The sequence below is a fragment of the Homo sapiens genome, chromosome 11, assembly GCF_000001405.40.
Source record: "Homo sapiens chromosome 11, GRCh38.p14 Primary Assembly".
Lineage (NCBI taxonomy): Eukaryota > Metazoa > Chordata > Mammalia > Primates > Hominidae > Homo > Homo sapiens.
Genome location: NC_000011.10, coordinates 44,527,773 through 44,549,193, shown reverse-complemented (window position 1 = coordinate 44,549,193; position 21,421 = coordinate 44,527,773). Strand labels below are relative to the sequence as shown.

General features: G+C 48.9%; 1 pseudogene, besides 5 other annotated features; it reads left to right on the top strand.

Moving 5' to 3' along the window:
• Positions 8,501 to 9,416, top strand: RPL7AP79 (ribosomal protein L7a pseudogene 79; annotated as a pseudogene).
• Positions 8,793 to 9,399: an enhancer, noted in NCBI's record as "OCT4-NANOG hESC enhancer chr11:44561345-44561951 (GRCh37/hg19 assembly coordinates)". NCBI's record gives its function as "activates a minimal SCP1, AML or CMV promoter by ChIP-STARR-seq in naive and primed H9 embryonic stem cells {active_cell/tissue: H9 hESC(naive and primed)}" and the evidence as "EXISTENCE:reporter gene assay evidence [ECO:0000049][PMID:30033119]".
• Positions 10,510 to 10,569: a silencer, noted in NCBI's record as "silent region_3273". NCBI's record gives its function as "represses an Ori minimal core promoter by ATAC-STARR-seq in GM12878 lymphoblastoid cells {active_cell/tissue: GM12878}" and the evidence as "EXISTENCE:reporter gene assay evidence [ECO:0000049][PMID:35858748]".
• Positions 13,248 to 13,770: an enhancer, noted in NCBI's record as "H3K4me1 hESC enhancer chr11:44556974-44557496 (GRCh37/hg19 assembly coordinates)". NCBI's record gives its function as "activates a minimal SCP1, AML or CMV promoter by ChIP-STARR-seq in primed H9 embryonic stem cells {active_cell/tissue: H9 hESC(primed)}" and the evidence as "EXISTENCE:reporter gene assay evidence [ECO:0000049][PMID:30033119]".
• Positions 13,771 to 14,294: an enhancer, noted in NCBI's record as "H3K4me1 hESC enhancer chr11:44556450-44556973 (GRCh37/hg19 assembly coordinates)". NCBI's record gives its function as "activates a minimal SCP1, AML or CMV promoter by ChIP-STARR-seq in primed H9 embryonic stem cells {active_cell/tissue: H9 hESC(primed)}" and the evidence as "EXISTENCE:reporter gene assay evidence [ECO:0000049][PMID:30033119]".
• Positions 19,641 to 20,557: an enhancer, noted in NCBI's record as "H3K4me1 hESC enhancer chr11:44550187-44551103 (GRCh37/hg19 assembly coordinates)". NCBI's record gives its function as "activates a minimal SCP1, AML or CMV promoter by ChIP-STARR-seq in primed H9 embryonic stem cells {active_cell/tissue: H9 hESC(primed)}" and the evidence as "EXISTENCE:reporter gene assay evidence [ECO:0000049][PMID:30033119]".

The following is a 21,421-nucleotide window of genomic DNA, read 5'->3' as shown; positions in this document are numbered from 1 at the left end:
CCACCATTCCATCAATCCAGCTGCTTCAAGATGAAAGGGAACCTGGTAAAACCAGTGAATTCCATGAGCATGAGCCCACTGCTGTATTTCTTTAGTCATAAAGTGAGTGCCTTGGTCAGAGGCAATGCTGTGTGGAATACCATGATGGTGGATAGGGCATTCCGTGAGTCCATGGATGGTAGTCTTGGCAGAAGCACTGCATTCAGGATAGGCAAACCCATATCCAGAGTAAGTGTCTATTCCAGTGAGGACAAACCTCTGCCTTTTCCATGATGGAAGAGGTCCAATATAATCAAACCTGCCACCAGGTAGCTGGCTGATCACCCCAAGGAATGGTGCCATATCGAGGGCTCAGTGTTGGTCTCTGCTGCTGGCAAATTGGACACTCAGCAGTGGCCATAGCCAGGCAGGTCAGCCTTGGTGAGTGGAAGTCCGTGTTGCTGAGCCCATGCGTAACCTCCAGCCCTGCCACCATGGCCACTTTGTTCATGGGCCCATTGGGCTATGACAGGGGTGGCTGGGAAAAGAGGCTGAGTGGTGTCCACAGAATGGGTCATCCCATCCACTTGATTATTAAAATCCTCTTCCACTGAGGTCACTTGTTGCTGAGCATGCACATGGGATACAAATATCTTCACAGTTTTTGACCACTCAGAGAGGTCCATCTGCATACCTCTTCCTGAAATTTCTTTGTCATCAATTTTCCAATCATGCTTCTTCCAAGTCCCTGACAATCCAGCCAAACCATTGGCTACAGCCCATGAATCAGTATATAATCGCACATCTGGCTATTTCTCCTTCCATGCAAAGTGTGGAACCAGGTGTGCTGCTCAAAGTTCTGCCCACTGGGAAGGTCTCCCTTCACTGCTGTCCTTCAGGGATGTCCTAGAAAAGGGCCGCAGTGTTGCAGCTGTCCACTTTTGGGTGGGGCCTGCATATCGCGCAGAACCATCTGTGAGCCAGGCCCTAGTCTTTTCTTCCTCTGTCAACTGACCATAGGGAACTCCCCATGAGGCCATCAGTTCAGGCTTGGGGAGAGAAGGCAGGGTGACAGGAGTGGAGACCATGGGCATTTAAGCAACTTCCTCATGTAACTTACTTGTGTCTTCAGGACCTGCTTGAGCTAGATTATGTATATACCACTTCCATTTGATGATGGAATGCTGCTGTGCACGACCCACTTTATGGCTAGATGGGTCAGAAAGCACCCAGTTCATGATAGGCAGTTCACATCACATAGTGACTTGATGACCCATAGTCAAAGTTTCAGTTTCCATCAAAGCCCAGTAACAGGCCAAGAGCTGTCTCTCAAAAGGAGAGTAGTTATCTGTAGAAGATGGCAGGGCCTTGCTCTAAAATCCTAGAGGCATCCACTGTGGTTCACCTATGTGAGCCTGCCAAAGGCTCCAAACAACACCCCAATCTGCCACTGACACCTCAAGCACCATTGGATCTGCTGGGTCATATGGCCCAAGTGTCAGAGCAGCTTGCACCACAGCCTGGACCTGTTGCAGAGCCTTCTCCTGTTCTGGACTCCACTCAAAACTGGTAGCCTTTTGGGTCATTTGATAAAGGGCCAGAGTAACACACCCAAATGAGAAATGTGTTGCCGCCAAAATCGAAATAAGCCTACTAGGCATTGTGCCTCTTTCTTGGTTGTAGGAGGGGCCAAATGCAGCAACTTATCCTTTATCTTAGAAGGAATATCTCAACAGGCCCTACTCCACTGGAACCCTAGAAATTTTACTGAGGTAGAAAGTCCCTGAATTTTAGTCGGATTTATTTCCCATCCTCTGGCATGCAAATGTCTCACCAATAAGTCCAGTGTGTTTGCTACCTCTTGCTCACTGGACCCAATTAGCATAATGTCATTAATGTAATGGACCAGTGTGATATCTTGCAGAAGTAAAAAGTGATCGAGGTCTCTCCGAATAAGGTTATGACACAAAGCCAAAGAGTTGATATACCCCTGAGGTAGGACAGTGAAGGTATATTGCTGGCCTTGCCAGTTGAAGGCAAATTGCTTCTGGTGGGCCTTATGGACAGGAATAGAGAAAAAGGGGTTTGCCAAGTCAGTAGCTGCATCCCAGGTACCAGGAGATGTGTTAATTTGCTCAAGCAATGAAACCACATCTGGTATAGCAGCTGCAACTGGAGTCACCACTTGGTTAAGTTTACGATAACCCACTGTCATTCTCCAAGATCCGTCTGTCTTCTGCACAGGCCAAATGGGAGAGTTGAATGGGGATGTGGTGGGAATCACCACCCCTGCATCTTTCAGATCCTTGATGGTGGCACTAATCTCCACAATCCCTCCAGGGATGTGATATTGTTTTTTATTTACTATTTTTCTAGGTAGAGGCAGCTCTAAGGGCTTCCATTTGGCCTTTACCACCATAATAGCCCTTACCCTACCAGTCAGGGAGTCAATGTGGGGGTACTGCCAGCTGCTAAGTATGTCTATGCCAATTATGCATGCTGGCACTGGGGAAATGACCACAGGATGAGTCCGGGGACCCACTGGACCCACTGTAAATCAGATGTGAGCTAAAACTCCATGAATTACCTGACCTCCAGAAGCCCCTACTCTAACTGGAGGACCATAATGACGTTTTCAGTCCCCTCAAATCAATGTCAGCTCAGAGCCAGTGTCCAGTAGTCCCCAAAATGTCTGATCATTTCCCTTTCCCCAGTGCACAGTTACCCTGGTAAAAGGCCGGAGGTCTCCTTGGGGAAGGATGGGAGAAAGATTCAATGCATAAATTGTGGGTAATGTAGTGGGGTCCTTCCTCAAGAGGACCCGGCCTCCCCTTCATTCAAAGGGTTCTGGGTCTGTAAACTGGCTGGGTCTGTAAATCAAGTTGGGAAATTGATTGAGGGGCCATGATTCTCTGTTTTTATAATTCAAATTAGCCTTTTGTCCGTTTGACCTAGAAGTTTTCTGCTTGTATAATTTAAGTAGAAATGCAGTAGGCTTCCTATCAATTTCACCTCTAGGAACACCATGATTAATTAGCCTATGCCAGAGCTCTAAAAGAGTCAGACTATTCTGATTGCTGCTTTGCCTCTGCTGTCCATTACAGTAGCTATGCCCACCTCGCCTTTGGAAGTTGAGTGCTGCCACTTGGCCCCTGCCACCTCAGGATCCACTTATTCTCATTGCATTTAAATTTTATAGTTGAGTGACTGCAGTTCCCACCATTAGATCTGAAATACAGAGAAGAGCAATTACAGGGCTCTCCAGAGATGCAGGTGCTGCCCTTACAAATCTACTTCACAAGGCATTGGTCAAGGGTATATCTTCTAGACCTTCCCAGCTGGGATGAGTAGGTCTGAAGTGACTAAACCACTCCACCATCCCCGTCTCCCCAAGCCTTTGGATCCCTTCCTCTACATTAAGCCAAGGGAGATAGGCATTTCCAGCTCACTCACAGTGGGCCATCTTTTAATCCATAGTTCAGCTAACCAAGAAAATAGACTATTAGAACCTTTTTGAGCTTCCCAAGCTGCAACATTAAATTCAGAGTTCCCTACTTAGTGGGCTCAAGTCAATAAATTCAGCCTGATCCAACTCTATGTTCCTTCCACCATTATCCCATACCCTTAATATCCATTCCCATGCCTGTTCTCCAGATTGTGGATTATATAAACTAGAGAACACAAACAGTTTTTTTTGAGTGTAGTGCACCTCCGGTCACATGGGTCAACCTCACCTCTAGGGGCCTGCCAGGACTTTAGTCTAGTTATAGGTCTAGAAGCAAACAGAGGTGTTGGAGGTGGCTTCTGAGGAGAATCAACATTATCTTGCCTGGCAACTGCCTCAGTGGAGGCCATCACTGTTGCCTCGGGCAGTGCAGGGTTTATTTCCTCAGACAAAGGTGGAAAGGCTGATGGCAGCATAGGTCAGGGAGGGTATGTTGTCACTACGGGGAATGGTGAAGCTGTTCCTTCTGGCAAAAAAATATTCATCAGAGTTTACCAACTCAGTGTCCCCAGCTTCATCAGGTTCCCCCCACATGTCCCCATTCCAAGTTGCAGGGCCCCATTCTTTTCCAATCAATGCCCTCACTTTAACAGCAAACACCTGGTGGGGCTGTGCATGCATCTTCCCTTGCAGCTCAGCCACTTGCATGATAAGAGCTTGTGTCTGTTTTTTTTACAATTTCAGCTCTTTCTCTACAGGAGATAAGACTCTCACTCAATGCAATCTTAGCAGATTTGAGGCTCAGTGTCTGCTTCTGAAGCCAGGAGACAGAATCCCTGAGTTCATAATTTTGTTTCATCACTTTGTCCACTGAACAACCAACCAGCTTCATTATGTTCCTTGGTTCTTCACATATGGTCAAAAGTATTAAGTATAGAGTCATTAAACTCCTAGCCTTTCATGAGCAGTGAATCAGGAGTGTCAAATGCATGTATTTCACATAACTCTCTAAACAGTTTCCGCCAAGGACTATCAGTATTCTACATACTATTAGAAATACAGTCCTTAGCATTTTTGGGTCTAATCATATTAAGCAGCCAACTCTAGAAACCTCAAAACCAATGAACAAACTCCATCCTTAATATTCTGTTCCTCTAGAACCACTCCTGGTACCAAAATCTGTATTCGTCAAGGGTTCTCTTAGAGGGAACCCTATATATAATAGGATATATATATAAATAATAGAATATATATATATCTAATAGATATATATATAAATAATAGAATATATATATATATATATATCTAATAGGATACATATATATAAAGGGAGTTTATTAAGTATTAACTTATATGATCACAAGGCCCCACAATAGGCTGTCTGCAGCTAAGGAGTAAGGAGAGGCAGTCCAAGTCCCAAAACTGAAGAACCATCAAGCACAGGAGAAAGACGTAAGCTGGGGGGCTAGGCCTGTATCATTGCTTCACATTTTTCTGCCTGCTTTATATTTGCTGGCGGCTGATTAGATGGTGCCCACCTGATTAAGGGTGGGTCTGCCTTCCCCAGCCCACTGACTCAAATGTTAATCTCCTTTGACAACACCCTCACAGACACACCCAGGATCAATATTGCATCTTTTAATCCAATCAAGTTGACACTCAGTATTAACCATCACAGGTTATATGCAAATACTATACCATTTAATATAAGGGTCTTCAACATCAGCAGACTTTGGTATCTGAGGGGGGTTCTGGAAGTGTTCCCCCATGAAAACCAAGGGATAATGGTATTTAATATTTTTTCAGCATTTCCTGTGTGTCAGGCATTCTGCTAAGATCTTATCCTTAAAGACTCCATTTTACAGATTAAAAAAACAGAAGCATAGAGAAATATAAAGGGTTTCAGTCCCTTGCTCATGCTCAAACAGTTGAGAAGTGGTAGGAGTAGCATTTGAACTTGGGCAATTTGACTCCAGAGTGCTATCAACTTTGACAATGAACAGACATTTGTTGCCAGCCTGCTGCCTCCCCCAGAAAAGAGTGTGCATGCTAGGCCAACCACCTTGCAGCAGGTAGCTTGGAGACACTGGGCCTAACCGTTTTTAGTAGCCCTTTTCTTATATGTAAAATGAAGGCAATAAAAAGAGTAGTTTTTTCTGTGTCACAAGATTGGAAGTGGTATGTGTGCAGTCCTTGTTATAAAATTTAGCATGTAGTAGTTATCCAATAAACATCACATTATATTAATATAATAATTAGAAATAATGGAATACAAACTCTTATCTTGATGGGCAGAACACCCTCTTTCTGGCCAAGGGTGTGAGCAGAAGTGATGTCTGCAGCTTCTGAGTCACACACTTTAAGGAGATAAAGGAGATAAAGGAGATGGGGAGATGGAGAGAGCCCTTCTCTTCCCTTTACTCCATTTCCATTGCTTGGAAAGCAGACCCAAAAGACAAACTGGTCATCTTTCTTTAACTGCATGAAACTGCATGTTGGTGATGATGGAGAAACATGATAGGATGTCTGGGTCCTTGCCAACATTGAGCAGCCATGCCAGAGAGAGAGATTTCCATTTCGCTGAAGTCACTGAATTTGAGGTCTTTTGTTAACAGCAGACTAATCTATATCCTTGCAGTTTCTCTTGGTTTCATTAGGTTTACATGGATTCAGAGAGCGACCTTTTTCCTAAACTCATCTTCAAAGTCTAGGGATCCTTGACTCTAATCCTCATTGCCCCAACCAAAACCTCCACGTTTTACTCCACTGCTATTTCTCAGCAAGGTACCTCCTCCTCTTTGAGCCCCGCCTCGACTTGTAAAGTAGGAAAAGTGAACTCAGCAACAGTGAGGAAAAGTGCAGATGAGTGTTCACAGGTCAAGAGCTTTCAGCTTTACAAGAATAATAACATTTAATAACAGATAATGAGGAGGAGGATGGTAATAGAAATGGTAATGCAATGGTAGCTGTAATGGAGATAGAGATCTGCTGTTTCTGATGGTGATGGAGTTGGTGATGGAGGAAATGGTGATAGATAGTTGTTAGAGTTGTTATGAGAATGAAAATGGTGGTGTTACTAGTGACACTGATGGTGGGAGAGGTGGTGATAACATTGATGGCAATGATAACAATGCTGATGATGGTATCTGATGAGAATTATGTGGTTGCTATGGTGATGAGGATGGTAATGGTGTTTGCTATGGTGGTGATGATGGAGATGGTTGCTATGGTGATGACGATGGAGGTGGCGGTTGCTATAGCGATGATGATGCAGATGCTGGTTGCTACAGTGATGATGGGAGTGATGACTGTAGTGATGAGAAGAATGGTGAAGTGTGATGGTGAGGTAATGAGAGGTCATTATGGTGATGATAATGATGGTGGTGGTGGTGATAGTGATGATTGTGTTGCTGATGATGGTGGTGATCCTGATGACAACAATGGTAATGCAAGAATGGCATTGACATTGGTGGTGTTAATAGCGATATCGATGGGAGCTCTTTTTATGGCTGGATATAGAATTGTGAATCACTTCTCCCTGGTCATGGATCACCTTTTCTTCATGAGATGACAGCTAGATTTATAATTCCAGATCTGATCTGTTCAACAGTTCCTGGACTCATATATGCATTTTTATGTCTCATCTCTTCTCATGCAACCACATGTGGAACTCTTCTTCCCTTTAGCATCTGCCCCACACCTGTTCCTCCTGTCATCCTCATCTAAGTAAGTCACAGCACCATTCATCCACGGTGCAAATTCTAGGACATACCCTTGGTTCCTTCCTTTGACATATCTTCCCCATCCACCCCGATTTCCAGCCCTTCAGTAAGCCCAGCCACCTCTACCTTCCAATGCTTTTGATCTGCCTCCTTCCACCCTTTTGTTCCAAGTCACCGTCATCGCCCTCCTGGCTTAATGCAATCATCTCCTAACTGGACAACTCAACTCCCTGGTTTCAGTCTTTTTTATTTTTATTTTTTATTTTTGGAGATAAGGTCTCACTCTGTTGTCTGGGCAGGAGTACAGTGGTGTGATCACGGCTTACCGCAGCCAGCCTCCAACTCCTGGGCTCAAGTGATCCTCCCACCTCAGCCTCCTGAGTAGCTGGAACTACAAACGTGCCACCACACCCAGATAATTTTTTTTTTTTTTTTTTAGAGACAGGGTCTTGCTATGTTGCCCAGGATGGTCTCCTGGCCTTGAGTGATCTTCTCACCTGGATCTGCCAAAATGCTGGGATTATGGGCGTGAGCCACCACACTTAGCCTGGCTTTCACTCTTGCCACCCTACAATCCTTCTCCTCTCAGCAGTCAGAGTGATACTTTACAAATGCAAATCAGACCTTATCATGTTTCTGCCCCAAACTTTCCTACAGTGTTTTATTGCCCTGGACAAAAATCAAAGCTTTTTTTTTTTTCTCTAGGCATGTGCTCTAACCCCCGCCTAGTTGTCTGACCTCCTCTCCTCTCATGCTTCAGTCACACTTTCTGTTTCTCTAATGCCCCAAGCACCTTCCCACCTCGGGGCCTTTGCATCTGCCATTCCCTCTGCCAGAAACACTCAGTTCCTAGATCTGCACAGCCAGTGGCAGCGTAAGAATTCAAACCAGCTGGGTTGGCCTCTCTCAGCACATTGCTTTGCTTTATCTGCCCTATGATATTTATCACCATCTTCATCTTATTTACTTATTAGGTCATTATTAGACCCCCTCCCACAACAAGAGTGTAAGCCTCATAAAAGCAGGACCTATGTCCTTGTTTCCCACTGTGTCCCCAGCATTGAGAACAGTGAATAGTAGATGTTCTACAAATGGCTGTGAATAAATTGATTGGCTCAAGAGACAAATTAGACACATACCTCACTCCAAGTAAGTTAAAAATCAAGCTTATGACCACGTGATCTCCTCAGTGAACACAGATCATCCTTCCTCCTCTGCTCTTGTGCCCTCTACTCCCTCCCCAGTTCACCTCCCAAATCTGATCACAGCTTCTGGTTTGAGTTCCTTGCTCCACCCCTAGAGTAACCATTGCAACACATAAATCTATTTTCTTCTGCTCCTCCACCTTCCCAAGATGCCAAGAGGAAAGAAGCGCAGGGGGAAGAAAGTGGCCCCGGCCCCTGCTGTCATGGAGAAGCAGGAGACCAAGAAAGTGGTGAATCCCCTCTGTTAAGAAAAGGCCTAAGAATTTTGGCACTGGACATCCAGCCCAAAAGTGACCTCAGCCGCTTTGTGAAATGGCCCTGCTATATCAGGTTGCAGCGGCAGAGAGCCATCCTCTATAAGTGGCTGAAAGTGCCCCCTGTGATTAACCAGTTCACCCAGGACCTGGACCACCAGCTACTCAGCTGCCTAAGCTGACCCACAAATACAGACCAGAGACAAAGCAAGAGTAGAAGCAGAGGCTGTTGGCCCAGGCTGAGAAGAAAGCTGACAGCAAAGGGGACATCCTCACTAAGAGACTACCTGTCCTTCAAGCAGGAGTCAACACCGTTACCCCTTGGTGGAGAACAAGAAGGCTCAGCCAGTGATGACTGCATGTGAACAGACGTTTGGTTGCCAGCCTGCTGCTTCCCGCAGAGAAGAGTGTGCATGCTAGGCCGATCACCTCTCAGCAGGTAGCTTGGAGACAATGGGCCTAACCATTTTGAGTAGCACTTGACATGACGAGGATCCCATCGAGCTTGTTGTCTTCCTGCCTGCCCTGCATTGTAAAATGTGGGTCTCTGATTGCATTATCAAGGGGAAGGCAAGACTGGAACGTCCAGTCCACAGGAAGACCTGCACCACTGTTGCCTTCACACAGGTTAACTCAGAAGACAAAGGAGTTTTGATGAAGCTGGTGGAAGCTGTCAGGACTAATTACAACGACAGATATGATGATATCCGTCGTCACTGGGGAGGCAATATCCTGGGTCCCAAATCTATGGCTTGCATTGCCAAGTTGGAAAAGGCAAAGGTTAAAGAACTTGCCACTTAACTGGGTTAAATGTACACTTTCATTTTCTGTACATAAAAATCATTAAAATGATACAAATTCTCCTTCAAAAAGAATTTTCCCTCTTCCCTGCTTAAGACCTATCGATGTCATGCATGCACTGATTTCCACACTGGGGTCGGCAGCTTTTGATGGTTCCTTAGGAATCCAGAGGAGGTGGGGGATGGGCAGAGCAAGTGTGGTTCCTAACTTCACATCCCCCCAACCCCTACTGCCAGAGAAGCCTTACTTGTACCAGGTGTACAGAGAGGCAGTCCCATAACCTTGAGATGAAGGTCAAGGCTTCAAAGCCAGGCGGCCTGCATTCAAAACCTGACTCTGCATCTTTCAAGCTTCATGACCCTGGCCAGGTTACTCGCATTCTTTGATCATTAGTCTCCTCATCTGTAAAGCGAAGCTAATGTTGTACCTGCCTCCTAAGGGTTGTTGGGAGGAATAAATGAGTTCATTCAAATAAGGCGCTCAGGACCATGCCTAGCACACAGTAAGTGCTCGCTAAGTGTTGGCTACTATTGTCAATTACTTTTTTTGATTTTGCTTTTGGTTTTCTTGGTGACAGGGTCTCACTCTGTCACCCAGGCTGGGGTGCAGTGGCGCAATCTCAGCTCACTGCAGCTTTGACCTCCAAGGCTCAAACAATCCTCCCACCTCAGCCTCTGGAGTAGCTGGGACCATAAGTGCATGCCACCACACTCCGCCAACTTTTGTATTTTTGGTCGAGACGCAGTTTCGCTGTGTTGCCAGGCTGGTCTCAAACTCCTGAGCTCCAGCAATCCTTCTGCCTTGGCCTCCCAAAGTGTCGGGATTACAGGTGTGAGTCACTGCACCTGGCCTATTAACTACATTTTCACACAGGAATTTATTTCCACTGATTAAAAGCGGGGAAAAAGTGAAAACCATTGGTTTTCATACTTTACATTGCAATTATTGCTATGCACCTTCTATATTTGGCTGGGAATCTCTTGTGGGGTAAAGACCAGGTTTCATTCAGTGTCTCTGACACCTTGGAGATGCTGCATCTAGCAGGCCTTCAATAAACACCCATCAAGGGAGAAAGGAAGCCAGGCAGTGAATGCGCCCCTGGCCTTAGCATGTCGTGCTCACTTATCTCCAGCAGGTGTCGCCCTTGTCTCTGAAACGGCCGTCTGGGCCCTGCTCACTGCTGTCCAGGCCCACTGACGGTCCGATGAGACCTGAGGACGCCGTGGGACCAGCAGATCCGAGTTGTTCTGCGTCGGGGAGGAAGGAGGCCCTGGGAGAGGTGCGAAAAACCTCACCAGAGCAGGCCACAGGCTGCTTGGAGCCTCCAGGCTTGAGTTCTACTCCCAGCGGGGGACACCAGGAGCGCCCATTTCCTCTCTGAGCCTTGGTTTCCTCCCCTCCAAAGCGGGGGCAATCCTGCTACGACGGGACATCGGGATGTTGTCAGGCCACACCTGACAGTTGATAGGCGTTGGATTTGCGGTTTTGTTTCTTTGTTTTTAAGTTGCACCTCCCAGGGAAGTCCAGGGGCATCTCCAGACTTCCCCAACACACGGATTCTGCCTCTCTGAGGGACGGCGAAATGAAAAACTCAGCAGCCTGGAATTCTGAGAAGGGAGAAACCAGGAGTGAAGAACACATGGAGCTGCGTAGGTTCCTACGGAAGATGCCAGGAGAGCCAGTGGTCCAGGGAGACCACACCTTGGACACACTCTTCTGCGCTGGCATGAGCACATCCGGGTAGGCTGCAGGTCTCTTTTCCTCAGAGGCAGACGCGCTGGAGTTACATGGATAGGGAGATGGAGGTGGCGCTCCTCTGTCACCGCAGTCCCCTCAGCCTCCTTGGCTGTGGCTCAAGCAAGTCCCTTCCCCTCTCTGGGCCTTTCTCTCTGTCAAATGGGGCTGGCCTGAGTCGGGCATTTTCAGGCTTAGCAGTAGAGGCCTGACTCTGCCACACCCAGTGGGGAAGACAGACACGGAGGCAGACAAAGAAAGCCGTTGGAGCCTAGGATGACAGGACAAGGACCTCACTCCCTTGGCCACCCCTCCACTGTGGTGATCCTAAGTGGCTCAAACCATGGGCTAGCTCTCCAAGGCTCTTTTTTTGAGAGGGAGTCTCACTCGGTCACCCAGGCTGGAGTGCAGTAGCGTGATCTCGGCTTACTGCAACCTCCGCCTCCTGAGTTCAAGCAATTCTCCTGCCTCAGCCTCCTGAGTAGCTGGGACTACAGGGATGCGCCACCACACCCGGCTATGGATTTTTTGTATTTTTAGTGGAGATGGGGTTTCTCCATGTTGGTCAGGCTGGTCTCGAACTCCTGACCTGGTGATCCACCCGCCTTGGCCTCCCAAAGTGCTGGGATTATAGGCGTGAGCCACCGCACCCGGACCTACAAGGCTCTTTCTAAGCACAAGTCTTCATGACACTGCAGTCCTCTTCCCGGTTCACCTCAGCTGTCCTCCCACAGGCCTCGCCCCACATCCCTAGGCCTCCAGGGATGTCCTATCTCCCTGACCTCTCCCCACACTCACAGGCCCAGGGAATGTGAGGTTTGGAAGGGGGCCCACGGAGGGGGCTGCCGGCTTCATCTATCACCGGGATGGATGGGGAAACTGGTCCAAGGTCCCATAACTCCCAGGGCAGAGCTAGGTCCTCCCTGACAATCTGCACCCCACCTCTGACCCTCAGACAGAGCCTCTCTCCAGGCCTGCATGAAAGCGGGCCAGATGTTCGTGGGTGCTGGGCTTAGTGTCAGGGCCAGCGGGAGGCTGGCCCGCCCCACAAGGTCGCCGCCCTTGCACTTCCCCTCCCAGCAGCTAATTAGCTCCAGGCCAGGTCCACCAGAGCTCCCAGGATGCTCCTGAGCTGGGACCTCACCCCGCCTGCTGAGGTCACAGCCCCCCCTGCCCGCCCTTGCTTCTCTTCCAGGCTCATCTCTCGCCCCTCAGACACCCTCCTCCTTCGCTCCCCTTTCATTCCACAGAAGAGGGGCAAGAAGCTCCGAGTCGAGATCACACAGCAACACAGAGGCAGAGCCCGGAGGAGACCTGCCCCAGTTCTCAGCCCAGCGCACCCACCCTTCCCACCCGCGGATGGTAACCCGCAGGGTGGGTGACGGTTCTACTCCTGTCTCCACCACCTCCCAGCTGCGTGACCTTGAGAAAATTACTTCCCCTTTGTGACCCTCAGTCTCTTCATCCCTAACAGGGATAATAACAGTCGTTGATGATAGGAATATAATCATCAACAATATTAAATGTCCTCAACACGTGAATATTAAATGAGATAAAATGTATAAGCACCCAGCACCTTACATACATATTGCTAGATCCTTTCTTTTCTCTCTCTATCTCTTTTTTTTTTTTTTTTTTTTGAGACGGAGTCTTGCTCTTGTTGCCCAGGCTGGAGTGCAGTGGCATGACCTCGGCTCACTGCAACTTCTGCCTCTCGGGCTCAAGCAATTCTCCTGCCTCAGCCTCCTGAGTAGCTGGGACTACAGGCACCCGCCACCATGCCTGGCTAATTTTGTGCGTTTTTGGTAGAGACGGGGTTTCACCATGTTGGCCAGGCTGGTTTCGAACTCCTGACCTCAAGTGATCTGCCTACCTTGGTCTCCCAAAGTGCTGGGATTACAGGTCATCCCGGAGCTTTCCTGAGTCCTTGTGGGCTGCCCCTCCTCCCTCTTCTGCATCATAACATTCTCTGGCTGAGCTTTTCCTGCAGGCCTCATCACTTGCTCCCTGTGTCCAGCTCGGGGCCAGACACAGGTGGTGTCCATCTCCCACTCCCATCTCTGCCTGTCCTCACTACATCATGTCCCTCCTGAACCAAACTCCTTCTCCAACTCACTGGCCAAGGAAAATAATAATAATGACCACAACAGCATTTATTATGAAAGCTAACATGTATTGAGGACTGACAATCCAGTCCCTATTCTAAGCACTTTTTTGTATTAGCTCATTTAATCTGTCCCCATTTTACAGATGGGGAAACCGAGGCACAGAAAGATTTAAGCAGTTAGCCCAAGGTCATACAGTTGGGACACAGTAAAGCCAGCCTTCAGCCCCAGCCCAGGCCAGTTCCAGTGCCTGGCCTTTTAGGAAGCCCTTTTGCTATAGGCAGGGGTCCACGTTAGACATAGCTTAGCTCCCCCTTCCTGGACAGCACCACGAGGCAACCCAAAACTCGGGACCCCAGGCAAGGCTGAGCATTGCACAACCCCAGCAGGTACCATTTCATGGAAGGCAACACAAGGAGCGCCCCCAGGAGTTGTACCACCCATTGGCCTAGCCCGGGGTGAGCGTTGAGGGTCCTCCTGCCCTGCCCAGACTTCTGCCGGCTTCTCCTGTCCTCACTGGAATTCTGCCATCTCGCAGCTGCCTTGGGAATTAGCTGTGCCCAATCGGCTTGCAGGCTATTTAGTTACCTTCCTACATACCCACCAGGCCTGGCCTCTGAACGGGACAGCAAGGTTTCAGTACGGCTAAAACCCAGCCCCGCCCTCGAGGCGCCCAGATCCTCCAGTTGTCCATGCATAGGAGCAGAGGCAGGTCCATTCCAAACGTCTATCAACCCTCCCTCCAACTGGATGCCTGATCAGACCCTCCCTCTGTCCCATCTGCACCGACTCCAGCCCCCACCAGGGACCATCTCACCTGGCTGGGGCAGGAAGCAAGGCAAGACAAAGTGCAGATGTATGGAATGAAAAGGGGGAGGTAAGGGAAAGGGATCCCTCTGGGGTATTTACAGACCACTTAGATCACGTCTTGAGCTGCTTTAGATGCCTCTGTGTTCAGCTTGGAAACAGAGCAGGAAAGAAACCTAGAAAGCCCCAAAGTGTGCTCCAGGGAAGGTCAATATTCACATCCCGGAGTTCCGCAGGCTGACTTCAGAGAGCTATAAAGACCCGGCACTACTTAGCATAGGGTCACCAAGCCAGAGAGTTGTTGAGAGTTGTCGCTTTACTCTTTTCCTTTCTTCTGATTAAACCAATGAGGAAGTTTCTATTTGCTGCCCCTCCAACCTGAACCTTTCTCAAGGCTCTAAACCTTCCCTGCTAACAGCAGTTTCCCTGGCAATGGGTGGCACCAGACAGCTAAAGTTTCCTTTCAAATAGAAATAAAGCAGAGGCATGGTCATTTTAATGAACACCTACTATGCATCAGGCACACAGCAACCTTATTCTACAGGCTCAGAGAGGTTAAGTTACTTGCCCAAGGTCACATGGCTAACGAAAGAGGTCCAGGTTCCTACGTGGGCTTATCAGACTCCCAGTTCATCTTTATCTTGTTTCTCTTCCTCCCTCACCTCAGCTCCTGTTAGCTCTTTGATCTCAGCTCCTGTTCATTCCTCAGATCTGCTGGCAGTCCTGCCTCAGGGCCTTTGCACTTGCTGTTTTCTCCACCTGGAATGCTGTTTTCAGATGCCCAGACATCTCACTCCCTTGCATCCTTCCTCGATTTACTCAAACTCACATCCAGACCATCCCCGACCATCCTGGGTAAGGTAGTGACCCCTCCCCTGCTCGCTTTTCTTGGTCAGTGCCTCTACTACATGTTATTTTACTTATTTTCTCTCTGCCTCCACTAGTGTGTGAGCTCCACAAAAGCAGTGACTTTGTCTATTTCTTGTTAACTGCTTTATCTCCAGCACCAGCACAGCACCTGGCTCATGGGAGGAGCTCAGTGAAGGTTTGTTAGATGAATGAACTGAAAGAGAGAGCAGAGCATGGGATCCTGGGCTCTGGCACAGTGCAGTTTCCAGTAAAGCCAATAACACTGTTTTGTTTTCATCATACTTCTTTTCTGGTTACCTTTTATTTCTTTATTATTTTTATTTTTTATTTTTGAGATGGAGTCTCATTATGTCGCCCAGGCTGGAGTGCAGTGGCGCGATCTCGGCTCACTGCAAGCTCCGCCTCCTGGGTTCATGCCGTTTTCCTGCCTCAGCCTCCCAAGTAGCTGGGACTACAGGCGCCCGCCACCATGCCTGGCTAATTTTTTTGTATTTTTAGTAGAGACGGGGTTTCACTGTGTTAGCCAGGATGGTCTCCATCTCCTGACCTCATGATCCGCCCACCTCAGCCTCCCAAAGTGCTGGGATTACAGGCGTAAGCCACCATGCTCGGCCCCTTTTATTTCTTATGGCAAATGATACTGATTATTTTTTTCATTTGTAGGAGTGATATAATCTTTTTTTTGAAATAGGGTCTCACTTTGTCCCCCAGGCTGGAGTGCAGGGGTGAAATCACTACTCACTACAGCCTCAACCTTCCTGGGATCAGGTAATCCTCCCAGCTCAGCCTCCAAAGTAGCTGGGACTACAGGTGAGCACCACCATGCCCAGCTAATTTTTGTATTTTTTTTTTTTTTTTTTAGAGGCAGGATCTCACCATGTTGCCCAGGCTGGTCTTGAACTCCTGGGCTCAAGCAGTCTGCCCACCTCAGCCTCTCAAGGTGCTGGGATTATAGGCATCAGCCACAGTGCCCAGCAATATAAATTTACCTTTTAAAATAAATGTATTTAATTGGAAAAGGTACATTTATTTAAAGAATAATATTTAATAAAAAGAGTTACAGGTGGGCATGGCAACAATCGGGAAGGTGGGACAGGAATAACCATGGCTGCATGATTGCTGGAGCCAAGGCCTTCTGTTTGTTAGATGGGGACGCTGAGGCCAGAGGGCACATGATTTGTTCAAGGTCACACAGCACGCTAATGGCAAGTGAGCATTTGCATGCTGGTCTTGTGGTTCCAGATGTGGCTTTTCTATTTTCCTTCTCAATTCTCTGTTCCATCCATCCGTGGACACTTAGGGGAGGAGACTGCCTAGGGGCCAGCCTGTGCTGAAGACAGTAGGACTGAGGATATAGTTTTTTTGTTTTTGTTTTTTTTGAATGGCTTTGTCTCCATCACCAGAGCAATGCCTGGCATGAGATAGGAGATCCACAGACCCTTATTAGGTGCAGGAATAGAAGAGAGAACAGAAGACTTGGAACCCCAAATCCCACCCTGAGGAGCCCCCAGTGAGCTGAGGAGTCAAGACAAGGCCTGTGGCAACAAAGTCAGGCTATGGAGGTCACATCTCCAATCTCCCTCTCACATCCAATCCAGGGAGTGGGTGCCCCTGTGCAGAGGAGCAGGGGTTGTGGTGGGTGCTGGAAATGGGGAGGTGCGCATGCCTTTTAGGACCTGGGGAGAGGCATGGGCCTCATGGGGCTGACTGGGTTACAGAAAGCAGCCAAGATGGTGGAGGGTTCCTTCTTCCTGGGGGCTCCCATGCCTTGGGCGGCACAGAGCGGTAGTGAAGGCTCAGGCCTCCGAATCTGACAGCTCTGACTTTGAGCCCAGCATCTGCCACTCACCAACATCATCTTCTTTATCTTCCTCATCATCTTCCTCTGTCTCCGAAGGGCTGATGTCAGGACTAAATACTTACTGCACCATCTGGTTGGAAGACAGAGCTAGGAAAATGCTAATGGCTGGTATTTTAGGGTAGGGGTCAGGTTCAAGGATGGGTTAAGGGCACCGGGATGTCTGCTCTGCATATTTCTTGACAACAGCTCTCTAAGGGTGTCCATTTCCATTTTCAAGAAGAGTCAGTGACATTCAAAAGCCCTATATACTCCTTTGGAGTTGGGACTGGGGAGGTGGGAGGCTGGGAGGCTGAATCGGGGCCTGGAGAGATCCCAGAAGTAAAGGGGTGGTAGAAACAGAGGCTCCAAGGGGTCAACCCTGTAGCCATGACTACACAACTGATTGGGGGCAGAGCTGGGACTGGAGGCCAAGCATGTGGGTCCCCTGCCCCACGCTCTGTCCATAGCTCCTAGCTGCTTCTAGACTCAAGAATTAGAAATTCACTTGAATTGGTCGGGCCTTCGAGACATGACAGCTCTTCCTGGCATTGTGGCTGAGTCGGCCCTGAATGACTCTGAACTTGAACCTGAGCCTTGGTATGCCCTTCTGCAGAATGGGGAGAATGGTACTGCCCAGCTCGTCTCACTCAGCGTCCTGAAAGTCAAATAATGAAATCATTCTCATTTCCTTTTTCTTCTTCTTCGAATTATCCTGACTATTCTGATTGCTTAGCTGCCTGGTTCAGCCTCTGAAGGTCCAGGGGACACCTGAAGACAGGGCTGACGTCTTGTCCACCTGGAGACTTGGAAAATGGGGTCTTAGACGCCGGGGCTTGGGGCTCTGCAGAAGCATGAGTAGCGCTTTCCCAGGGCCCCGCCTGAGAAGGATTTAGGGTTTGGCTTGCAATGTGGTGAACTGCTAAATATGCAGATTATGGGTACAAATCCGGGGGTGGCAGGAAAGGCAGCCAGGCAGGGTGGGGGGCGTGCTGGAGGTCTGGCTGCTCGACCATGTGTGTGGGTGGGGCCCGCTGTTCCAGATGGAGTTGCAGCTGTGCCTGCTGCGAGGTTTGGGTGGGGCTGTAGCATGTGGCCTCTCCTCCACCTCCTCAGCCTCCTCCAGGCCTCCAGGCCAGGCTGGCTCTCCTTATCAGGGAGCAGCCACTGAAACCCACAATTCTGGCTCCTTTCAGTGTCTGGAGAGGCGGGTGGTAGAGATGAGGGACACCGTCATTGTTCAGATGGGGAAATTGAGACGCAAAGACACGGAGTTATGTATCCCTGGCCAATGGCAACTTAGAGGGCAGGCTTGAAACCAAAGGCTGATCTCTTGACCCTGTGCACTGGGCATGGCTGGGCAGGAGGTGGCCCAGGTTCTATTCCAAACAGCCCAGGGAACAAGGAGCGGCCATTGTCCTCAGAGACGCTAAGACGCCCCTGCCCCGGGTTGCTGGCTCCAATGTGGTGGGGTTGTCAGAGACATTTGAACTAGAGCTACTCCATCTTGAATAGGGGCTGGGTGAAATGAGGCCAAGACCCGCTGGGCTGCATTCCTAGGAGGTTGGGCATTCTAAGTCACAGGATGAGACAGGAGGTCAGCACAAGATACAGGTCACAAAGACCCTGCTATTACAACAGGATACAGTAAAGAAGCCGGCCAAAATCCACCAAAACCAAGATGGTAATGAAAGTGACCTCTGGGCATCCTCACTGCTCATTATATGCTAATTATAATACATTAGCATGCTAAAAGTCACTCCCTCCAGCACTGTGACAGTTTACAGACGCCATGGCAATGTCAGGAAGTTACCCTATATAGTCTAAAAAGGGCAAGAGTCCTCAGTTCCTGGAAATCTCTGCCCTTTACCCAGAAAACTCATGAGTAATACACCCCTTGTTTGGCATATAGTCAAGAACTATAAGTATACTCATTCGAGTAGCCCGTACTGCTGCTCTGCCTTTGGAGGAGCCATTCTTTCATTCCTCTACTTTATTAATAAACTTGCTTTCACTTTACCCTATGGACTTGCCCCCAATTTTTTCTTGTGAGAGATCCAAGAACCCTCTCTTGGGGTCTGGATCGAGACCCCTTTCCGGTAGCAGACCTGTGACTTGACCCCACATCTGAGCTTCACCACACGAACCCTGTTACCTCTTCAACAGCCCTGGGAAGGGACGCCTTAGGGAGGAAGAGACCTCTGCAATGAACACATGAACACATGGGTGGGGAGGCATTTCTTAGATTAGCTGGAAGTTTTATAGAAAACAAAGTCTGGTTGCCTGAGAGGAGAGGAATCAGGATGTTGTCATATTTTAGAGGAAGGATGAGGATGATGGAGCAAGAGGGGAGGCTGAGGTTCCAAAGGGGCCTAAAGAGACTGAGCCTTCCTCTTTTTCAGGTAGGAGAAACAGGGCACAGAGAGGGGTAGCAATTCGTACAGCACAGCAGTTGAGAGCACAGCAGTCGAGAGCCAACAAACTCAGTATCTCGGGTTCCTTCCTATACTGCCTGGGGTGAAGGAAGGGGTGCTGAGCACTGAGACCTGAAGCCATCTTATCCTTTTTTTTTTTTTTTTTTTTTTTGAGATGGAGTCTCATTCTGTCACCCAGGCTGGAGTGCAGTGGTGCGATCTCGGCTCACTGCAACCTCCACCTCCCAGGTTCAGTGATTCTCTTGCCTCAGCCTCCCGAGTAGCTGGCCACCATGCTCAGCTAATTTTTTTGTATTTTTAATAGAGATGGTGTTTCACCATGTTGGCCAGCCTGGTCTCGAACTCCTGACCTCAAGTGATCTGCCCACCTTGGCCTCCCAAAGTGCTGGGATTATAGGCGTGAGCCCCCGCGCCTGGCCTGAAGTCATCTTATTAGCTAAAGTGTAGCTTTGGGTACGGCGTCTCCTTCCTGCCCCAGCCCAGGGCTTCTTCACCTAACCCCTCAACTGGTCCTGAGAATTAAGCAAATTGGCAGTCACCCGGGCTCTCAGAGGGCCCACCCTTCCTCCTGATCCTGCCAGTTCTCATGCCCCCACATACAATACAGAGAAAAATCCGCCAGTGAACGCAGCTCTCCCCAGCTTCCTGTTTCTGGGTCCTGGACCCCCCATCCTGTTGGCCTAAAGGGGACCAAGATGGCCTCTGAGAAGCGGGACTATCGAGGCTCAGAGTGGCACACAGTCAAGGTGTAAGGACAAATCCACCAAAAGAAACTAAAAGATAGAACCAGAAACACTGGGCCCTGGGAAAAGAATCCCACTCAGGCATCTGTGTGTGAAAAAGATGTTTTCTCCTTAGAGGAAAATGGCACTTCCCAGAGCACGACTGCTCCAGGTGAAGGCAGTCCCCCACTGCGTTCAGCCAAGGTCACCAGAAGGAGGGCAAGAGTGGTGGGGCCTCGGCCCTGACCCTTCCCTCCTTCACAGCAGGGCCGGCTTGCGGATTTCAGTAGCAGGGGCTTCCCGTGCCCCACCCACCCATGGGGATCCACATTCCACCCTTTGAGATTCATTGCTTTGCCAAGGGCGAAGAAAACTAAGCATGAACTGGGAGTCTGATAAGCCCAGGTAGGAACCTGGACCTCTTTCATTAGCTGTGTGACCTTGGGCAAGTAACTTAACCTCTCTGAGTCTGTAGAATAGGGTTGCTGTGTGCCTGATGCATAGTAGGTGTTCATTAAAATGACCATCCCTGTCCTTTGTTTCTACTTGAAAAGAAGTTTTTGCTGCCTGGTGCCATCCATTGCCAAAATCCATGGGCTCCTTCTTTCCCTAGCAATAACAGACTTTAGGAAAGTGAACAAGTAGCATCAGTAGCCACCAGGCACTGTGCTGGGTGTTTCCATCACTGCAGAGGAAACTGAGCACAGAGAGAGACGAAGTCAGTTGCTCAACATCACACAGCAACTAAGAGACTAAGGAGACTCAAGTCTAGATCTGTGTAATTCCAAGACCTTGGTCTCTGCAGTCCACCGTGCCATCTGCCTCTTCTTATGATTCACAGACTTCAGACTCAAAAGATCAGAGGCATTCCGACAGGAGAGTAAGAAAGTGGCAGTGGCAGGGAAGAGGCTTTGGGGCCTCAAGAATGAGGGCTCAGGCTGGTGAGGCCTGGTGGAGCAGAGGAGGGGAACTCACGGTGGAGAGGGCACCAAGGTCAAAGTTTGTCTCCTCATAGCTTTGCAGAGGGAGGTCCCGCACCATGCTCCCGGGTGACTCACATGAAGTGCGTTACCGGGGGAGGATCAGGCTGGGGCTGGTAGGGAGCTGAGCTATCCAGGAGGAGCCAGGAATGGACCCACACCTCGGACATTCATCTGCCTGGCCCTTTGCTCCCTGGAGGGCAAGGATTTCTCCTTTGCCTTTGGGGGAAACTGGGCACCAACTGTCAAGCTCTAGAATTAGAGGAGTCTTCTCTGAGCCTCAGAAAGCTTGGTCCCCTACCCCCTCCAGGCTGGCCACAAAAGGAGGGCTTCCATCCTGGGAAAGGACCCCTTCCCCCATGCCACTTGATTGAATTCAGCAGAGCCTTTTATTTCTAATTCAGGAAGTGTCCTGACAATAAAGACATCATCAATATATTAACTCACCTCTTCAAAATTTCAAGCACATTCTAGGGAGAGATTTTCCAAACGGAAAACAAAACTGCAATAAAGTGAACAATGTGG